Source organism: Homo sapiens, chromosome 11 (assembly GCF_000001405.40).
Source record: "Homo sapiens chromosome 11, GRCh38.p14 Primary Assembly".
Lineage (NCBI taxonomy): Eukaryota > Metazoa > Chordata > Mammalia > Primates > Hominidae > Homo > Homo sapiens.
In genome coordinates, this window is record NC_000011.10 from 9,412,544 (window position 1) to 9,433,515 (window position 20,972).

The window sequence follows — 20,972 nt, forward strand, 5'->3', positions numbered from 1 at the left end:
CAGTGGCTCAGCCTGTAATCCCAACACTTTGGGAAGCTGAGGCAGGCGAATCACTTGAGCCCAGGAGTTTGAGACCAGCTTGGGCAACATAGTGGAACCCCGTCTCTCCCCTACTCTCTACAGACAAAAAAGAAAGTAATCAGCCAGATGTGGTGGCACATGCCTGTAGTCCCAGCTACTCAAGAGGCTGAGGTGTGAGGATAGCTTGAGCCTGGAAGGTTGAGGCTTCAGTGAGCCATGATCACCACTGCACTCCAGCCTGGGTGACAGAGTGAGGCACTTTCTCCAAAAAAAAAAGGATACTGGAATTGCTTTTGTGTAGTTACAAATTTGTTTGATTGATTGATTTTTTTTTTTTTTTTTTTGAGACGGAGTCTCTCTCTGTTGCCTAGGCTGGAGTGCAGTGGCTCACTGCAAGCTCTGCCTTTCAGGTTCATGCCATTCTCCTGCCTCAGCCTCCCGAGTAGCTGGGACTATAGGCGCCCGCCACCACGCCCAGCTAATTTTTTGCATTTTAGTAGAGACGGGGTTTCACCGTGTTAGCCAGGATGGTCTTGATCTCCTGACCTCGTGATCCTCCCGCCTCGGCCTCCCAAAGTGCTAGGATTAGAGGCGTGAGCCACCGCGCCCGGCCCCCAACAGACTTTTTAACGATACTTTTTTATTTTTTTTGAGATTGAGTCTCTCTGTCACCCAGGCTGTAGTGCAGTGGCACAATCTTGGCTCATAATTGATAGCCTGTTGGTCACATTTTGTTGCCCTATGGGTTAATAGAAGAACTTACGGTTTATGATGCTTTTAGAAATAAAATATTTTCTGCTTTATACATACCATTTCTGCTTTAATGCTGTTGGTATGTAAATTACTTAAGGATGGTAATAATAATCAGTTTTATTTATCAGCTGCTACTGTTTACGCAAATATAATCAAATACTTCCTAATTTATTATTTATAATTTATACAAATATTTATAATTTATTATTACTTTCCTCATTTATTATGAGGTCAATAACCTATTCCAGTTGCCTAGGTTCATGTCTAACTATGTAATACTGAGAAAGATAGTTAATTTCTGTGCCTCAGTTTCCTGAACTATCAAAGTGAGGATACTCATGTGGGCCTTGAAGATTTTTGACCTCATAATACATGTTCAGAAAATACTGGATAATCTTTACCCAAGGTTTTATTCAAGATGCTTTCTTTTTATGGTTTTGCTCTAGATATTTTTCTTTTTCTAAATTGGTTAGGAAGTATTTGATTATATTTGTGTGAATAGTAGCAGCTGATAAATAAAAAATTTCATTATGCCTCCTCATCTATATCAATTGATTCACAGTTAGAGACTGCATAGTCAAGTGGTTAAGAGGGCAGACCTTGGATTCCAGTTGCCTAGGTTCATGCCTAACTATGTAATACTGAGAAAGATAGTTAACGTCTGTGCCTCAGTTTCCTCAACTACAAAAGTGAGGATACTCATGTGTGCCTTGAAGATTATTGACCTCATAATACATGTTCAGAAAATACTGGATAATCTTTACTCAAGGTTTTATTCAAGATGCTTCCTTTTTATGGTTTTGTTCTAGATATTTTTCTTTTTCTAAATTGGTTAAGAAGTATTTGATTATATTTGTGTAAATAAATGCATAGTTTAAATATATATACAATTGTGGAAATAAATTCTTACAGAATTAGTTTGTATTCCTACTCAAAGGTATAAAAAACCAGAGGAGCGGAGTCCATTGGTAGCAGCAATGCAGCATTTTCTGCCAGTTCTAAAGGATCGTTTTATCCAGCTTCTTTCTGACCAGTCTGATCAGTCTGTCCTCATCCAGAAACAGATATTCAAGATCTTCTATGCTCTTGTTCAGGTAATATCTGTGAAGCAGTTTTTATGCATAAAAAGTTAGTCTGTCATTTACCGTGTTAAAAATTAACAAAGAATTTCAGCATTTGAATAATAGTTAACTTGAAAATCTACATTAAGTGGATGATTTTCTAGCAAAATAGAAATTGCAAAAATTATAAGTCTAAACAAGCATACTTCCTCCCCAAATACATAAACAACCCTAATGAATCTTTTTTTTTTTTTTTTTTTTTTTTTTTGAGACTGTCTCGTTCTGTCGCCCAGCTGGAGTGCAGTGGCGTGATCTCGGCTCACTGCAACCTCTGCCTCCCGGTTTCAAGCGATTCTCCTGCCTCAGCCTCCTGAGTAGCTGGGATTACAGGCACGTGCCACCACACCTGGCTAATTTTTGTATTTTTAATGGAGACAGGGTTTCACCATGTTGGTCATGCTGGTCTCGAACTCCTGACCTCGTGATCCACCTGCCTTGGGCTCCCAAAGTGCTGGGATTACAGGTACGAGCCACCGTGCTTGGCCCCTAATAAATATTAAATTGCAAATGGGCAATGTCAAATTATCTTAAACCATCCACTGCAACCAAATTAGTCAATTTAGAAAGTATCTTTCACCTTAGGAATTAATGAATCTGGGCCGGGCACTGTGACTCACACCTGTAATCCCAGCACTTTGGGAGGCTGTGGTGGGCGCATCACCTGAGGAGGGGAGTTCGAGACCAGCCTGACCCAACATGGAGAAACCCCGTCTCTATTAAAAATACAAAAAAAATTAGTCAGGCTTGGTGGTACATACCTGTAAACTCTGCTACTTGGGAGGCTGAGGCAGGAGAAAAGCTTGAACCTGCGAGGCGGAGGTTGTGGTGAGCCAAGATCACACCATTGCACTCCAGCCTGGGCAACAAGAGCAAAACTCTGTCTCAAAAAAAAAAAAGAATTAGTGAATCTGAAAACCAGTTACTTGATTACAGTTGAAGTCTAACACATACTTGATATGCAAAATATACATAGATTGTCTCAGTACAAAACGTATTCCTAAACTTGTCGCAAAAATACTAAATCAGTGGGCTTTACTGGTACACAGTAATGGCTTTTATTATTTCTGTATGTTCTAAATTTTTCTAGGATAAAAGATACCCACTACAGAAATGGTTGGGGCCGGGCGTGATGGCTCACGCCTGTAATCCCAGCACTTTGGGAGGCCGAGGCGGGCGGATCACGAGGTCAGGAGGTCGAGACCATCCTGGCTAACATGGTGAAACCCTGTCTCTACTAAAAATACAAAAAATTAGCTGGGCGTGGTGGCGGGCACCTGTAGTCCCCGCTACTCAGGAGGCTGAGGCAGGAGAATGGTGTGAACCCAGGAGGCAGAGGTTGCAGTGAGCCGAGATCGCACCACTGCACTCCAGCCTGGGCGACTGAGCAAGACTCCGTCCCAAAAAAAAAGAAAAAAAGAAAAAAAAGAAATGGTTGGGTCAGTATTCGCAGTGAAATGTAATTACTTGTAAAACAGATTTTTAAAAACCAGGAAAATTCTGGTTCTTTTTGTTGTATCATGTACCATAGAAGGATTTATCTCATCTGCTAAGATCATTGGTTCAAGTCATACCATTACATTTAAAAATCTCATTTAAATAAATCAGAGCCAGGCACAGTGGCTCGCACCTGTAAGCCTGTAATCCCAGTTATTCTGGAGGTTGAGGTTGGAGGATTGCTTGAAACCAGGAGTTCAAGGCTGCACTCCATCCTGACAGAGCGAGACCTGGTCTCTTAAAAAGAAGGAAGAAAGATCTATGACTTCACCTCCATTAAGACTGTACTTGCCTAACTCTATTCCTTGGTTGGATTTTGCATGTCTTTGCTAGATCTTTAAAGACATTCAGGTATCTCCCACTCTGAATCTAAGGGCACCTTAATGCCATTCTATTGGACTCTTAGGTTATTCTTTTGTTAAGTAATTTGAATAAACACTAGTCTTTTCAATATTTTTTCTAACTAGGAGGATCATAACTTTTGGATTAAATAATAGGTCTTTTTGAAAACTATCATAGGGCATAGGGAATAGGACAAAATACTTTCTCAACTCATTCTTTGAGACTAGCATACCTGTTGTAAAAATATAGCCCCGTCTCACTTGTGAAAATAGATGTCCTAAAATCCCAAATTGGATAACTTTTTTATTGGCCTACTGAGAAATAGGATTTATCCCAGGAATACAAGAATGGATCAACAGTAAGAAATTAGTTTTTGTAATTAACCCTTACATCACGTTAAAATAGAGACCTGTAAACATCTTTATGGATGTCAGATAAAGCATTTGATAAAATTAAATAACCATGTCTGCTTTGAAAAAAATAAACAACTGTTAGAATCCTAGAACAGAATCTTTCTTAACTTGATGAAAGGTGTTCATTAGAAATCTACAATAAATATCACACCTTATGGTGAAAATAAAATATCCCAGTAAAATGGGAATATGGCAAGGATGCCCACTCACTGTTTACCATTATAGATAACAAGCAAAGAAGTTTGCCTATGTACTAAAAGCAGGAAATGTGGATTGAATGAAATACTTTTGGTAGGTATTGTGAAGAGTAAAAAGAAGTAGGATTTTCTTTAGCAAGGATTTCGAAATATTAATTCTTGACTTTTATTTAGTATACACTACCACTGGAACTGATAAACCAACAGAACCTGACAGAATGGATAGAAATTTTAAAGACTGTTGTGAACAGGGATGTACCTAATGTAAGTTTCTGTATGTTCTCTTATATTACTAAATGTAAATATTTAATGATCTTTTGAAGACTTTAACTGGTGTTTCCTGTAACATTCTTTATGAATTTTTATAATATGGTGATGTATTTTTTTCTAGATTAGAGGTACCTTTTCATTTGTTTATATATGCATTACATCTGTACATTTACTTAGTGTAAAAAGTTGTAAAGGGTGTTTTTTTAAATATATTATTGGTTTAATTTCTTCTGTTGTCCTTTTGTTTCATCCTAAATCTTCTGTTCCCTCTCAGTTCATAAATTAAGAGCTCATAGCTGGCTCTTAGCCTAGTTAATTTGTCAGATGCCCACGTACAGAGGAAGAGGAAGAACTTGATTTACAGATTGGCCAACTTTTGTAGTTATGTTATTTTTTCTTAATAACTCTATTGAGAAATAACTCACATACAGTAAAATTTATTCTTTTAAAGTACAACTTGGTAGTTTTTAGTACATTCAGAGTTGTCCAATTGTGTTATTTGTATAATCAAACTTTTTAAAATTATTATAATTTTTCTTTATAGTCTAGTTTTCTTTTTTCTTTTTTTTTTTTTTAAGCTGAAGTTTCGCTCTTGTTGCCTAGGCTGGAGTGCAGTGGCGCAATCTCGGCTCACTGCAACCTCCGCCTCCCAGGTTCACGCGATTCTCATGCCTCAGCCTCTCAAGTAGCTGGGACTACAGACGTGTGCTACCAAGCCCGTCTAATTTTTGTATTTTTAGTAGAGATGGAGTTTCACCATGTTGGCCAGGCTGGTCTCAAACTTCTGAGCTCAGGTGATCCGCCCACCTTGGCCTCCCAAAGTGCTGGGATTACAGGCGTGAGCCACTGTGCCCGGCCTATAGTCTAGTTTTCTAGAGATATAGGGGAATTTACAGATTACTGAATACGCTGTTTTGTTTTGTTTTGTTTTTTTGAGACAGAGTCTCACTCTGTCGCCCAGGCTGGAGTGCAGTGGTGCGATCTCAGCTCACTGCAACCTCTGCCTCCCAGGTTCAAGCAATTCCCTGCCTCAGCCTCCCAAGTAGCTGGGATTACAGGTGCCTGTCACCATGCCTGGCTAACTTTTTTTATTTTTCATAGAGACAGGGTTTCACCATCTTGGCCAGGGTGGTCTTAAACTCCTGACCTTGTGATCCACCCGCCTCAGCCTCCCAAAGTGCTGGGATTACAGGTGTGAGCCACCGTGCCTAGCCTATTTTACAGTGTGTTTTATGTACTGTTATTAATATATACTTATTTAACCCTCAAAATCCTTCTGACTTTTATTTTAAACTTACACATGGGAGGGTTATGTAATTTATCCAATATAATATTGTTAATCGCATAAGTGAGACCAAAGTCCTATTTTGTAGTTTAATTTTTTTAAAGATTTGTTTCAAAAAGGTTTATGAACAATGCAGAAGAAACAACATTTCTACACCCTCCATAGGAAACTAGTTTGGTGTATATTTTTCTTTGCACATTTAATAGATATAAAATATAACTTTTAAAGTTCTCATATACATATTGTGCACCTTTTTGTTGTACAATTTATAATCCGTGCACCGATTATAAATAAACAGTTCAGTGAGTTAGCACAATTATTATGTACCCATGTAGCCATCACCTCAGAATGTTTGCTCATGGCTGGTTCTAGTCATCTCTGGCATCATCTCATTCCCGGCACAATAGATTTAATCTGTTTTAGAACTTAGTAAGTAATCTTTTGTTCCTGGCTTCTTTCACTTAATATATTTATAAGATTCTTTCATGTTGTATAGTGGTAGTTTATTATTTTTTATTGCTGAGCGGTATCCCATTGTATAGATATATCACAATTTATGTATGTTGATGGACATCTGGGTAGTTTTACTTTTTCAGTATTATAGATAAAGCTATGAACATTCTTACGTGTCTTTTTGTGGTCACATGTTTTTCACACTCTTGCATAAATATCAAAGAAAGGAATTGGGTCATAAGGTAGGTGTATGTTTTACTTTACAAGTAACTTCCAAAGTGGCTGTAGCATTGCTTTCACTAGCGATGTATGAGAGTGTTCACTTGCTCTGTATATTCACTTCCTTATCCTACTTAAAAAAATATGTCATGGATAGGCTGGGCGTGGTGGCTTACGCCTGTAATCACAGCACTTTGGGAGGCTGAGGCGGGCGGATCACGAGGTTAGGAGATCAAGACCATCCTGGCCAACATGGTGAAACCCTGTCTCTACTAAAAATACAAACATTAGCTGGGCGTGGTGGTGCAAGCCTGTAGTCCCAGCTACTCGGGAGGCTGAGGCAGGAGAATCACTTGAACCAGGGAGGCAGAGGTTGCAGTGAGCCGAGATTGTGCCACTGCACTCCAGCCTGGCAACAGAGTGAGACTCTGTCTAAAAAAAAAAAAAAATATATATATATATATATATATATATATGTTATGGATGTCTTAGGTTATTAATGTATAATGATCCAATTCCTTCTTTCAGTGATTGTATAGGAGTCTTTTATGGATCTTCCATAATTGAACATTATTAATGAATCTTCAGGTTCTTGGAAATTTTTTACCATTACAAATAATATGATAATTAATATTCTCATACACAAATCGTTGCGCATTTATACTTATATATCTGAAACTAGATTTCTGAAATGGAGTTTCTCATGCCCTTTCCATTATGAAATATACTGATTTTGATTAAGCTACAATTGTCGTGGCCTTGACTATACTATTTAGATCTTGGCTAAAATGTTTGGCTTTAAGCTTGTAGAATTATTTTAAAAAGCATGTCTTTTATAACCAACTAGTGAAGCAGTGAGGATGCCTCTTTGATTTAAATAGGGTTAATACTTTTCCAAGTCTAACCTTCTACTATGAAAGGCCAACATCAGGCCAGGTGCAGTGGCGCACGCCTGTAATCCCAGCACTTTGGGAGGCGGAGGCGGGTGGATCACGAGGTCAGGAGATGGAGACCATCCTGGCTAACCCCGTCTCTACTAAAAATACAAAAATAAAATTAGCTGGGCGTTGTGGCGGCCACCTGTAGTCCCAGCTACTTGGGAGGCTGAGGCGGGAGAATTGTGTGAACTCGGGAGGCGGAGCTTGCAGTGAGCTGAGATGGCAATAGAGCAAGACTCCATCTCAAAAAAAAAAAGGCCAGCATTAGTGAAGCATTCACATTTTTGTCAATCTATTCTCATCTCATGCTGTTCCTCCTATATTGTATTATCTCTATCATTAAATAAGTGTCTTTTTAAAGGAAACACTTCAAGTTGAAGAAGATGATCGACCTGAGTTACCATGGTGGAAATGCAAGAAGTGGGCCTTACATATTTTAGCAAGACTTTTTGAAAGGTAATCTCATCCATATATGGTGATTTAAATTAATTTATTAAGGTTTTGCTTTAAAGTGCTAGCATAAAGCATTATAAAGAAACAATGGGCATTTTGATGTTCTTTTAGATATGGAAGCCCTGGCAATGTTTCCAAGGAGTATAATGAATTTGCTGAAGTATTTCTGAAGGCATTTGCTGTTGGTGTCCAGCAAGTAAGTCTGTTTTTAGTTTTTCTCAGTGGAAACATGGCATCTTTAAGTTAATTTATATATTGCTTATTCCCAGTTTCTTTGACATCTAAAGAGTGCCTGTTTGGACCCTGTACCAGGTCTCAAACATTTTTGGTCTCAGGATCTCTTTATGTTCAAATTACTTAGGATACCATTGGGTTCTCATTTATGTGAGTTATACCTAGTAATATTTATCATATTAGAAATTAGAGTAAACAGTTCATTAAAATATAATAACAGGCCTATTATATGTTAAGACAATAATTTTTTTTTCTCTTGTTGCCCAGGTTGGAGTGCAGTGGCGTAATCTCGGCTCACTGCAACTTCTGCCTCCCAGGTTCAAGCGATTCTCCTGCCTCATCAGCCTCCCGAGTAGCTGGGATTATAGGCATGTGCCACCACACCCAGCTAATTTTGAATTTTTAGTAGAGACGGGTTTTCTCCATGTTGGTCAGGCTGGTCTTGAACTCCTGACCTCAGGTGATCCGCCTGCCTTGGCCTCCCAAAGTGCTGGGATTACAGGCATGAACCCCCACCCCCGGCCCAGAATTCTAATTTTTGCTTGAAACCTCAAGTTTTAACACCAGTAACATATTGTCAGCAATTTTCCTTGAAATGAGGGACTCGTTTTATTCATTTTTGAGAATATAATCCTATAATCCCAGCACTTTGGGAGGCCAGGGCGGGCAGATCACGAGGTCAGGAGTTCGAGACCAGCCTGGCCAACATGGTGAAACCCCGTCTCTACTAAAAATACAAAAATTAGCTGGGCGTGGTGGTGCGTGCCTGTAATCCCAGCTATTGGGGAGGCTGAGGCAGGAGAATGGCTTGAACCCAGGAGGCAGAGGTTGCAGTGGGCTGAGATCACGCCACTGCACTCCAGCCTGGGTTACAGAGCAAGACTCCATCTCAAAAAAAAAAAATTCTTAAGAAAAACTTGTTCTAAGGCTGGGCGCAGTTGCTCACGCCTGTAATCCCAGCACTTTGGGAGGCCAAGGCGGGCGGATCACGAGGTCAGGAGATCAAGACCATCCTGGCTAACACAGTGAAACCCCATTTCTACTAAAAATTCAAAAATGTAGCCGGGCGTGGTGGCGGGCGCCTGTATTCCCAGCTGCTTGGGAGGCTGAGGCAAGAGAATGGCGTGAACCTGGGGGGTGCAGCTTGCGGTGCGCAGAGATCCTGCCACTGCATTCCAGCCTGGGCGACAGAGCAAGACTCCGTCTCAAAAAAAAGAAAACTTGTTCTATAAGAATATGGCTGTAAAGAATACAGTGACTTGGCCGGGCGCGGTGGCTCACGCCTATAATCCCAGCACTTTGGAAGGCCATGGCAGGCAGATCACCTGAGGCCAGGAGTTCGAGACCAGCCTGACCAACATGGAGAAATCCTGTCTGTACTAAAAATACAAAATCAGCCAGGTGTGGTGGTGCATGTCTGTAATCCCAGCTACTCGGGAGGCTGAGGCAGGAGAATCACTTGAACCCAGGAGGCGGAGTTTGCGGTGGGCCGAGATTGCACCATTGAGCAAAACTCCATCTCAAATAAATAAATAAATAAACAAATAAATAAATAAATAAAAATACTGTGAATTTAATATCATACTCTTGATTCAAATAAGGCATCAGAACATTTAACACCATGGTTTTGTACCATTGGTGCAAATACTCATTTACTCAAAACACAGTTTTGTTTTTTTTTTTAAAAAAAGACAATATCATTATGAAAGTAGCTTTAAACTAGTAGATCCTCTGAAATAGTCTTGGGGACCACTAGAGGTTTGTGGACCACATTTTGTGTGTCAGTGTTCTGAAACATGAAGTAGAGTTAGAACTATTGACAGATGCTAAATAGGCAGTTGACTGCTTTGGGTAAGGTTTTCCCAGAAGATGGCTTTAACAAGATAGGGTTTTCTCCCAATACTGTGGTTTTTCAATAGGTAGCAAATGGGTTAGGTGTGGTGACTTACACCTGTAATCCCAGCACTTTGGGAGGCTGAGATGGGAGAATCGCTTGAGGCCAGGAGTTAGAGACCAGCCGGGGCAACGTAGTGAGACACTGTCTCTAACAACAACAACAAAAAAAACCCCAGAAAAACGAAGATAGTATATAGTTTTCTCTTCTTTTCATTCTTAATCAGAAATGAGTTAAATTATTTTTCAAAGTATACGGTTGTTTTTCTTGATGATGAGCTTGTCATTAAAATATGTGTTAACTGTTTTTACTGGCTTGTAAGTGGTTGAAATTTCTATTTGAACATTGATTTGTGATCGAAAATTTTTTTCCAAGGTTTTATTGAAGGTGTTATATCAGTACAAGGAGAAGCAATATATGGCTCCTCGAGTTTTACAACAGACATTAAATTATATTAATCAAGGAGTTTCTCATGCTCTCACCTGGAAGAATCTGAAGCCCCATATACAAGTAATAATTTTTATCTGAAATGTTTTTATAGTAAATATAATAGAAATGACATCAATTGCCATAAAGGTTGAAAAATTGCATGTTTGTTGAGTTGTGTTACTTAGACTACTTCTGGTGATTGTTTTGAGAGTATAGCAGAAAAAGGAGATAAGACAGTGACATAAAGTTATGAGAGGTATCTTGTGAATATTCAACTTATCTTTTAATCCAAAACTGTTGTCTTCAAACTTGCAATTTAAGTTCTTAATATTGGACTATGATTATATTTTATCATGTAATTTGGAGTAGCCAAGGGACTTTATCTCACCAGATTCATTTCTAGTATAAATGACTTACCTGCTATTTCTATGAATAATTTATGTGCTTTATTTAGAGCTGTAGAATTTTATAGACTATATATATTTAGAATACTTAATTGCGACCTTTGTACACATATATCTTAAAGTTACTTGTTACAGAAAGGGGAAGTACATGTAGTTTGATAGTTGATCTTAGAACACATTAAATGCATTACTAACGTTTGATATTAAGCTTTAAAATACATATAGTGTTACTTTGGTTTTAATACTTAAAGGAAATTTGAAGGTTTAAATTTGAAAACTGATGGTTATTGTTTTCTTAACTTTTAAATTGCAGGGCATTATCCAAGATGTTATTTTTCCATTGATGTGCTATACAGATGCTGATGAGGAACTTTGGCAAGAAGACCCTTACGAATATATACGCATGAAGTTTGGTAAGGAATTTTCACGTTTTTAGAAACAAAAAATGTCAGTAATTAAGATTACAGTGATTGCATGTAGCCAACCTAGGGGGTATTATGTATCTTCTTTGTTGTTTTAATGTAATTGATCCCTTGTGTAGTCCTTTTTGGGGCTATTTATTAATTATGACATTTGATAATGATAATCTTATTTTTGGCAGACACAAATTCAATACTGTTAAGTTTTTATTACTGAATACCAAAACTGTTAGATATTCAAGATTACACCTCAACACTAAATGTCTTAACTATACTTTTGGATCTTATGTTAGCCATCATATGAGTGGGAAATGAGAAAACACATCTAGGAAGCTGGTGTCACATGAAGTCCTTGCACAGAACTAAAGAATTGTAATTTGGCTAATAATGTTGAATATTGGTCCTTATTCTTACCAAGTCATTTGTGCTTTTTGCAGCTTGTACTTTTGTGACCCTGTTGTGAAAATTCTCACATCAGTAGTGTTTCATACATACGATTTAAACTGCTGAGTTCTGAGTTAATAAATAAAAATGAAAGCTATTAGGAGGAATTCATGGATTAACATTTAATTTTCACAGGCCAGGTGCGGTGGCTAAGGCCTGTAAATCCCAACGTGTTGGGAGGCCGAGGCAGGCAGATCGTTTGAGGTCAGGAGTTTGAGACCAGCCTGACCAATATAGTGAAACCCCATCTCTACTAAAAATACAAAAATTAGCCGGGCGTGGTGGCAGGCACCTGTAAACCAGCTACTTGGGAGGCTGAGGCAGGAGAATTGCTTGAACCTGGGAGATGGAGGTTACAATGAGCCGAGATCGCCCACTGCACTCCAGCCTGAGTGACAGAGCGAGACTCCATCTCAAAACAAACAAAAGCATTCAATTTGTACAGAAAAGACATTGAATTCTGCTTTTGCAAAATTATAAAGGGATCTGGGATCATTTTCATACCTTATGTAAAGATTAAGCATGTTTTTTAATGCTTTGTTGAAGAAATTAATGTTTATTGTCTTAATTTTAAACTTGTTCTCTAGATGTGTTTGAAGATTTCATTTCTCCTACCACTGCTGCCCAGACACTTTTGTTTACAGCCTGTAGTAAGAGGAAAGAGGTAGGCTTATTTAATGTTTAGATAACTTTTCTGTATTATTTAAAATTTATTCAACTATACACTTTTTAAATGTTAGTCATGTGAGTCATTTTGTTAGTATGTTTTTTAAGGACTGTTGGCCTATTCAGTAACAATACTTTTCTCTTTTAATCTAGGTACTGCAAAAGACTATGGGATTTTGTTACCAGATTCTTACAGAACCAAATGCTGACCCTCGAAAAAAAGATGGAGCCCTGCATATGATTGGCTCTTTAGCTGAAATACTTCTGAAGGTATTCTTTAGTGTGTTTGTATGTGCATGACTATGCAAGTAGTTTTAAAAAATAAATAGCCAGCCAGGCACAGTGGCTCACTTCTATAATCCCAGCACTTTCGGGATGCTGAGGCAGGCAGATTGCCTGAGCCCAGGAGTTTGAGAACAGCCTGGGCAACATAGTGATACCCCCATCTCTATAAGGATAAAAAATAGGCCGGGTGTGGTGGCTTATGCCTGTAATCCCAGCTATTTGGGAGGCCAGGGCGGGGGGATCACCTGAGGTCAGCAGTTGAAGACCAGCCTGGCCAACATGGTGAAACCCCGTCTCTACTAAAAATACAAAAATCCGCCGGGCGTGATGGCTCACGCCTGTAATCCCAGCATTTTGGGAGACCGAGGTGGGTGGATCATGAGGTCAGGAGATCGAGACCATCCTGGCTAACACAGTGAAACCCCGTCTCTACTAAAAATAAAAATAAAAAATTAGCCGGGCATGGTGGCTGGCGCCTGTAGTCCCAGCTACTCAGGAGGCTGAGGCAGGAGAATGGCTTGAACCCGGGACGTGGAGTTTGCAGTGAGCCGAGATCACGCCACTGCAATCCAGCCTGGGCGACAGAGTGAGACTCTGTCTCCAAAAAAAAAAAAAAAAATCAGCTGGGCATGGTGGTGGGCACCTGTAATCCCAGCTACTTAGGAGGCTGAGGCAGGAGAATCACTTGAACTTGGGAGGCGGAGGCTGCAGTGAGCCGAGGTCATGCCACTGCACTCCATGCTCCAGTCCAGGCGACAGAGACTCCGTCTCAAAAAAAAATAAAAAAATAAAAAATAACAACCTTATGGAGTGTACAACTCAGTGGTTTTTAGTTTATTCACAGTTGTATAACTATCACCCCCAGAAGGAACTCTGTATACATTAGCAGTCACTCCACATATCACCCCAAATCTCCCAACCCTAGGCTACCTATAGTCCACATTTTTTCTATGGATTTGTTTATTGTGGACATTTTATATAAATGGAATCATATAATACGTAGCTCTTTGTGGGTGACTTCTTTCATTTAGTGTAATGTTTTCAAGGATTATCTGTGTTATAGCAGGTTTCAGTACTTTTTCCTTTTTGTTGCCAAATTATATTTCATTATATTAATATACCACATTTTATTTACTCATTCATTAGTTGTTTCTACTTTCTGGCTGCTTACAAATGTTGCTGTGAACATTCATGTTTAAATTTTTATGTGGACATACGTTTTCATTTTTCATGGGTATATACCTAGGAGTATGAATTGCTTGTCATAATTTGAGACACCGCAGAACCCATTTTCCAACGTAGCTATACCATTTTATATTTCTGCCAGCAGTATATTTTGATTATAGCCATCCTAGTGAACGTGAAGCATTATGTCTTTGTGGCTTTGAAATTTTTCATGTGCTTACTATCCGTTTGTATATTTTCTTTAGAGAATATCTATTCAAATTCCTTGCCCCAAAAAAATTGCTTGCCTTTGTTTTTTTTCTTTTTATTTTTTGAGATGGAGTCTTGCTCTGTCACCCAGGCTGGAGTGCAGTGGTGAGATCTTGGCTCGCTGCAGCCACCAGTCTCCCACATTAAAGTGATTCTCCTGCCTCAGCCTCCCAAGTAGCTGAGATTTCCGCCTCCCCGCCCCCCCGCCATATGCTGGAGTGCAGTGGCGCAATCTCGACTCACTGCAACCTCTACCTTCCGGGTTCAAGTGATTCTCATGCCTCAGGTGCCTGCCCCCAGCCTAATTTTTGTATTTTTAGTAGAGATGGGGTTTTGCCATGTTGGCCAGGCTGGTCTCAAACTCCTGGCTTCAGGTGATCCGCCTGCCTCAGCCTCCCAAAGTGCCAGGATTACAGGCGTGAGCCACTGTGCCTGGCCCTTGCCCATTTTTAATTGGGTTATTTGTCTTTTTATAATTGAGTTGTTAGAAATCTTTACATTCTAAAGCCAGGCACTAAGTACTCACAGAATATTTAGTCATTGTGTCTTTTATCTTTTCGTTTTTTGGAAATGGAGCCTCGTTCTGTTATACAGGTTGGAGTGCAGTGGCGTGATCTCTGCTTACTACAACCTCCACCTCCTGAGTTCAAGCGATTCTCCTGCCTCAGCCTCCCGAGTAGCTGGGACTGCAGACACCTGCCACCACACCAGCTAATTTTTGTATTTTCAGTAGAGATGGGGTTTCACCATGTTGGCCTGGCTGGTCTCGAACTCCTGACCTCAGGTGATCCACCCGCCTCGGCTTCCCAAAATGCTGGGATTACAGGCGTGAATCACTGCACCCGGCCGTCTTTCATCTTTTCTATACCTGTTCACCCATCCTTCTCTTTGTTTATAAAGTATGTATTAAAGACATTCTAATCATTTGTGGCATAGAAGGCTGAGAATTAGTGAGTTCTCTTGGCAAATTCAAGTTTATCTATTCTTACCTTTCACTCAGCTTCACTTAGTGGTAATACCTTACATAGGTAGGCAAAGTTATCAAAAACATGAAGTTGATTTTGGTATGCTACTATCAACTAATCCATGGACCTTTTTAAAGTTTCACAAGATTTCCCACTATGTCCTTTTTTCTGTTCCATGACCCAGTCTAGGGTCTCACATTGCATTAAGTTGTCATGTCTGATTATGTAAGTGTTGATATATAAGTGTCTTATGTTTTTAATGTTGATTTAATGTGCAGTTTAAGGAACTCTTCTAAAAAGCTTCTTTCCACTTAGAAAATACTCACTTTGAATACTGAGAGTGCCTTTTTAGAGAATCACTTGAATCTGGGAGGTGGACATTGCAGTGAGCCGAAATTGTGCCACTGCACTCCAGCCTGGGCAACACAGCAAGACTCCGTCTCAAAAAAAAAGAAAAAAAAAAGAGTGTGCCTTTTTAGATAGCCAGTTTATTCGTTTGAAAGCAGGATTTTTCTCAGGTTATGTTATTTTCAGCCAGAAACTTTATCAGACAAGTTTTTTCCTTATAAAAGTTTCATAGTAACAGATAAAATTAACCAAACTTACATCATTCGAACACTATTGCTGGTAAGATTTGGCATAATGGCTTTCTAATCAAGGAATATAAAAACGTGAAAATGTGTTTAGTGGTTTTTGGTGGTGAAGTTCTGGAATACGAAAATTGGTTGTGGATTCTGGGGTTCAAAGAATGAGAATAAATATATGTAACATTAATAGTCATTTTTAATAGTGTTATATCTGTTTGGAAATTGAGATGATTATATTTGGAACTGTATCAAAATAACTGTTGTTTATATTTACAGAAAAAGATCTATAAAGATCAGATGGAATACATGTTGCAGAATCATGTATTCCCTCTCTTCAGCAGTGAACTAGGCTACATGAGAGCAAGGGTATGTTTTAAAGCTGCATTATTTATATACTTTTGTCTTGTAATGAATGACTCTGTGGACTTTTATATTGAAACTTTTAAATGTTCACTTTGAAGCCTGTGTCTTATTTTAGGTTTCTGTTTAATGTAAATCTTTACATGGCTGCTGTAATGTGTGCATAGGTTTCATCTGTGTCTGGTAGCAGTGTCTGTCTGTGTTTTTCATTCAGATCTTGCTATCCACACAAACATCATGCGGCCAAAGAGTAACTTGGGATCATAGTACTGGTCTAGTGTTGTCTCTGGACACATCTACCACTGGCCAGCCTCCAAATTCCCACACACAGAACTCAGGGAATAGAGATTAGCTTGGGGGAATTTAAGGTAAGGTATCTACAGTAACTCACTGTGTTTTTACAAAAGGCTTGCTGGGTACTTCACTATTTTTGTGAAGTGAAGTTCAAAAGTGATCAGAACCTTCAAACAGCCTTAGAGCTAACAAGAAGATGTCTGATTGATGATAGAGAAATGCCTGTGAAAGTGGAAGCTGCCATTGCCCTTCAAGTATTGATCAGCAATCAAGAAAAAGGTAAAGGATTTTTGTATGTCAAGAAAAGTGAATGTTGGCCAGGTGCGGTAGGTCACACCTGTAATCTTAGCACTTCGGTAGGCTTAGGTGGGAAGAGCGCTTGAAGCCAGGTGTTCAAGACCAGCCTGGGCAACATCTCTACAAAAAAAATTTTTAAAAATTAACTGGACATAGTGGCATGTACCTGTAGTGCCAGCTACTTGGGAGTCTGAGGCAGCAGGATCACTAGAGCCCGACGGTTCGAGGCTGCAGTGTGCTACGATTGCCACTACCCTCCAGCCTGGGCAACAGATCAAAACCCTGCCTCTTATAAAATATATATATATATATTAATTGTAAAAAGCCATAATCCTAGAAACTTGGCATACTTCCTTTTTATGTGAAAGTACTTTTTTAAAAAACTCATCGATATTTGTTATATCAGGTTTTAAGAAGTTTTAGGGGTTTTACGCAAGTTTTTTACTCTTTCTCTTACAGCTAAAGAATATATCACACCATTCATCAGACCTGTAATGCAGGCTCTTCTTCACATTATAAGAGAAACAGAAAATGATGACCTTACCAATGTAATTCAGAAAATGATCTGTGAATATAGTGAAGAAGTTACTCCTATTGCAGTAGAAATGACACAACATTTGGTATGTTGTTTGAACCTACCATATTTGCAAGCATTTTAATGTAGCTCTCAGTATGTTCCAGGTTGTGTCACCAGTGGCTTGCCTTACCTTATAGCAGTCAACCTTTTTGGCACCTGGGATCGGTTTCATGGAAGATAATTTTTCCACAGATGGTCCGGGGGAGATGGCTTTGGGATGAAACTGTTCCACCTCTTATCAGACAGGCAATGGTTTCTCATAAGGGGTGTGCAACCTAGATCCTTGAATGCACATTTCACAGTAGGGTTCACGCTCCTGTGAGAATTTCCGGCAGTAATGCTCACTCACCTACCACTTATCTACTGCTCCTAACAGGCCATGGACCGGTACCAGTCCACTGCCTGGAGACTGGGGACCCCTGCCTTATAGTAGATATTTCACAGACATTACTGTGTAGCACGTAAAGCCCTTGACAGATACTTAACTTACTTAATTCTAACACAATCATGTGTCAGAATTATTCCTGTTTTACGGAGAAAATATGAGGTATAAAATGGTTTATTGCCTAAGCTAGGCAGGGTGCGGTTGGGATTTATATATGGGCCTTCATGGTACTTGTTCTTAACTACTACCTCGGGCTGCAGCATGACTATCTGCATAGTGCCCTGGAATGCTCAAAATAATCGATTGAATTTTACAAAAGATAAATCAGTGACCCCCTTGATGATTAAATATACTTTTATTTGGACATTGTCAAGTGTTAACCAGTAATATTAATGAAAACTATTCATAATATTAAGTACTTTTTATACCTTGCCTCATTTAGTCCTCGTACGGTGTCTATGAAATCCCCGAAGTGGCATGCAGAAAAGGTCAAGAGAAGTCAAGTAGCTTGTTTAAGGTCACCCAATGAGCAGACTATTTGATTATAGAGCTTAAGCTCTTTATTATCATTAATCAATTTGGAGACATTGATTTGTTGTGGTATCCCAATGAGAACGTTCTAAGAATTAAAAGTCTTAGACCAAAACATATTTATAATGCTTCAGTGACAAACTTGAGTTATATTCTCTTGAATCTAGGCAATGACATTTAACCAAGTAATCCAGACGGGGCCAGATGAAGAAGGTAGTGATGACAAAGCAGTTACTGCTATGGGAATTCTGAATACAATTGATACACTTCTTAGTGTAGTTGAAGATCATAAAGAGGTAAGAAGATGATCTAGTGTTGCAGTTTTTCAAGCCATTTTATGCTTTTTAGAGGGCTCTAATATCTCTCTGGCATCTCATGTACCATGTTTTTGCCATTTTCCCTTTTATAAAGATAAGATTGGTACATTATATTTTAAGTTCTAAAGTATTAGTAGAAGGAATAGGAAGCAGGTATTTGTTTTACCATCTTAGGGCTCAGGATTTTGGCTCCTCGTTATGTTTTCTCAGATCCAGAAATATGGTGGTTCCCAGAAAAACAAAAATATTTTTCTTAGTTTTCTTTTTCTTTGAAAAATTTTGGTTATACACATAGCATAAAATTTACAATCCTAACCATTTTTAAGTATATAGTTCACTAATATTAAGTATATTCACATTGTTATGCAACCATCACTACCATCTTCCTAGTTTTCTTCTTTTCTAGTTGTCTTTTGGAAAAGTAAGAATTGTAATAATGGATTTTTTTTTTTTTGAGATGGAGTCTCACTCTGTCACCCAAGCTGGATTGCAATGGTCACTGCACCTGACCCTGAAATTGTTTTTCTTAACATAATGGAAATATTCTAAGTGTTAAGAATGTAATAAAGTTTAGGTGATTAAGAAGTTTTGGTTATAGTTTTCTTATTATTTACTCTTTTCTGTATGTTTTAAATAACTCCATTTTTTAAAAAATCCATTATTGGGCGGCCAGGCATAGTGGCTCATGCCTGTAATCCCAGCACTTTGAGAGGCCGAGGTGGGCAGATCACCTGAGGTCAGGAGTTCGAGACCAGCCTAGCCAACGTGGTGAAACCCCTGTCTCTACTAAAAATACAAAAATTAGCTGGGCATGGTGGCGGGCGCCTGTAATCCCAGCTACTTGGGAGGCTGAGGCAGGAGAATCACTTGAACCCGAGAGGCAGACGCTGCAGTGAGCATAGATCGCGCCACTGCACTCCAGCCTGGGCGACAGAGTGAGACACTGTGTCAGAAAAGAAAGAAAGAAAGAAAAAACAATTTGAGATAGATGCAGTTGAAAGCCCTCAGGGGACCACTTCCTAACCCCTTTTCCCTACTTCCTTTCTTCCCATAGAAGTAACACTGTCATGAATTTGGTGTTTATAATTCCAATGCAGATGCTTGTAATGTATCTCTTATCCGTAAATTACATGTTTTCTGCAAGTTGCCTTTTGCAGCATGAGGTTTTTCACTAAACTTTTTTTTTTTTTTTTTTGAGACAGAGTCTCCCTTTGTTGCCTAGGCAGGAGTGCAGTGGCGCCATCTTGGCTCACCGCAACCTCTGCCTCCCAGGTTCAAGTGATTCTCCTGCCTCAGCCTCCTGAGTAACTGGGAGTGCAGGCGCGCACCACCATGCCCAGCTAATTTTTCTATTTTTAGTAGAGACAGGGTTTCACCATGTTGGCCGGCAGGTCTGGAACTCCTGACCTCAAGTGATCCGCCTCCCTTGACCTCCCAAAGTGCAGAAATTACAGGCGTGAGCCACCACGCCAGCCACGTAAACTGTTTTTGTATTCTGCCTTATAATTGAATATAAGCAGAAGCCATGACCAATCCTATAGGTGCTTTATGTTTTAACAGATTAATTGTTTATTCTATTTTAGGAATTGTAAATGTATTAAGTTCTGTATATTTGAAATGGATGTCTTGCTTTTATATCTGATTAGTGGATATTATTTTACCCTTCCTCCCCTTAACATTCTTATGGCCCTCAGGGATTTGGGATCTAATTTAGGACTATCTAGACAATTATAGAGGAATTTGTATTTCTTGTCAGTCTTGAGTTGGGGGCTGAGTTCACATTCCATGGTTCACTATATCTAATAAAATTTGAAAAACTAAGGTGACTTAAGGATTATTGAGATTCGTAGCAATAATGCCTTCCTTCGGATAATTTCTCTGTGAGTCATTGACGGTGACTTTTCAATTACATTGAGCTGAATTAATCTCTATTTGCACATAACAGATGGGCTATCTTCCAAATGGTTTTTTTTTTTTTTTTGAGATGGAGTTTTGGTCTTGTTGCCCAGGCTGGACTGCAATGGCGCTCGGCTCACTGCAACCTCCACCTCCTGGGTTCAAGCAATTCTCCTGCCTCAGCTTCCCAAGTAGCTGGGATTACAGGCACCCGCCACCATGCCTGGCTAATTTTTTGTATTTTTAGTAGAGACGGGGTTTCACCATGCTGGCCAGGCTGGTTGCAAACTCCTGACCTCAGGTGATCCACCCACCTTGGCTTCCCAAAGTGCTGGGATTACAGGCGTGAGCCACCGCGCCCGGCCAACTCCTTTATTTTCATAGTTGTTTGCATTTTTCGAGAATGTTGTTTTTTCCTTTTTAGGTAAATTAAGCTAGCCATTCCTTGTGTTTTTCTCATTGTAATGGTATTTCATTCTATTTTTATCTGAGATCACAATTTCATAATGTGTAAGTCATTTTAAAACAAAGACTTATTTTTTTCACAATATTGACTTTATATTTAAGTGTACTGAATTATAATATGCGTTGTCTT

General features: G+C 39.2%; 1 protein-coding gene and 1 non-coding gene across 2 annotated transcripts in view, besides 1 other annotated feature; both read left to right on the plus strand.

The window, feature by feature from the left end:
- IPO7 (importin 7) overlaps positions 1-20,972 on the plus strand; it is a 63,476-nt gene that overhangs the window by 27,892 nt on the left and 14,612 nt on the right. Inside the window, exons 5-16 of the mRNA NM_006391.3 lie at positions 1,712-1,868; positions 4,516-4,605; positions 7,868-7,962; positions 8,071-8,155; positions 10,463-10,597; positions 11,234-11,333; positions 12,371-12,447; positions 12,603-12,719; positions 15,997-16,086; positions 16,488-16,653; positions 17,131-17,291; positions 18,332-18,460. Coding sequence (NP_006382.1) covers positions 1,712-1,868; positions 4,516-4,605; positions 7,868-7,962; positions 8,071-8,155; positions 10,463-10,597; positions 11,234-11,333; positions 12,371-12,447; positions 12,603-12,719; positions 15,997-16,086; positions 16,488-16,653; positions 17,131-17,291; positions 18,332-18,460 — 1,402 coding nt within the window. The remainder of the gene's footprint in view (positions 1-1,711; positions 1,869-4,515; positions 4,606-7,867; positions 7,963-8,070; positions 8,156-10,462; positions 10,598-11,233; positions 11,334-12,370; positions 12,448-12,602; positions 12,720-15,996; positions 16,087-16,487; positions 16,654-17,130; positions 17,292-18,331; positions 18,461-20,972) is intronic.
- Positions 16,179-16,473: a silencer, noted in NCBI's record as "tiled region #11606; HepG2 Repressive DNase matched - State 15:Elon". NCBI's record gives its function as "represses a minimal TATA promoter and a strong SV40 promoter by Sharpr-MPRA in HepG2 cells {active_cell/tissue: HepG2}" and the evidence as "EXISTENCE:reporter gene assay evidence [ECO:0000049][PMID:27701403]".
- SNORA23 (small nucleolar RNA, H/ACA box 23) lies at positions 16,223-16,411 on the plus strand. Its single transcript, NR_002962.2, has one exon. It is a non-coding gene; the product is annotated as a small nucleolar RNA, H/ACA box 23 (small nucleolar RNA).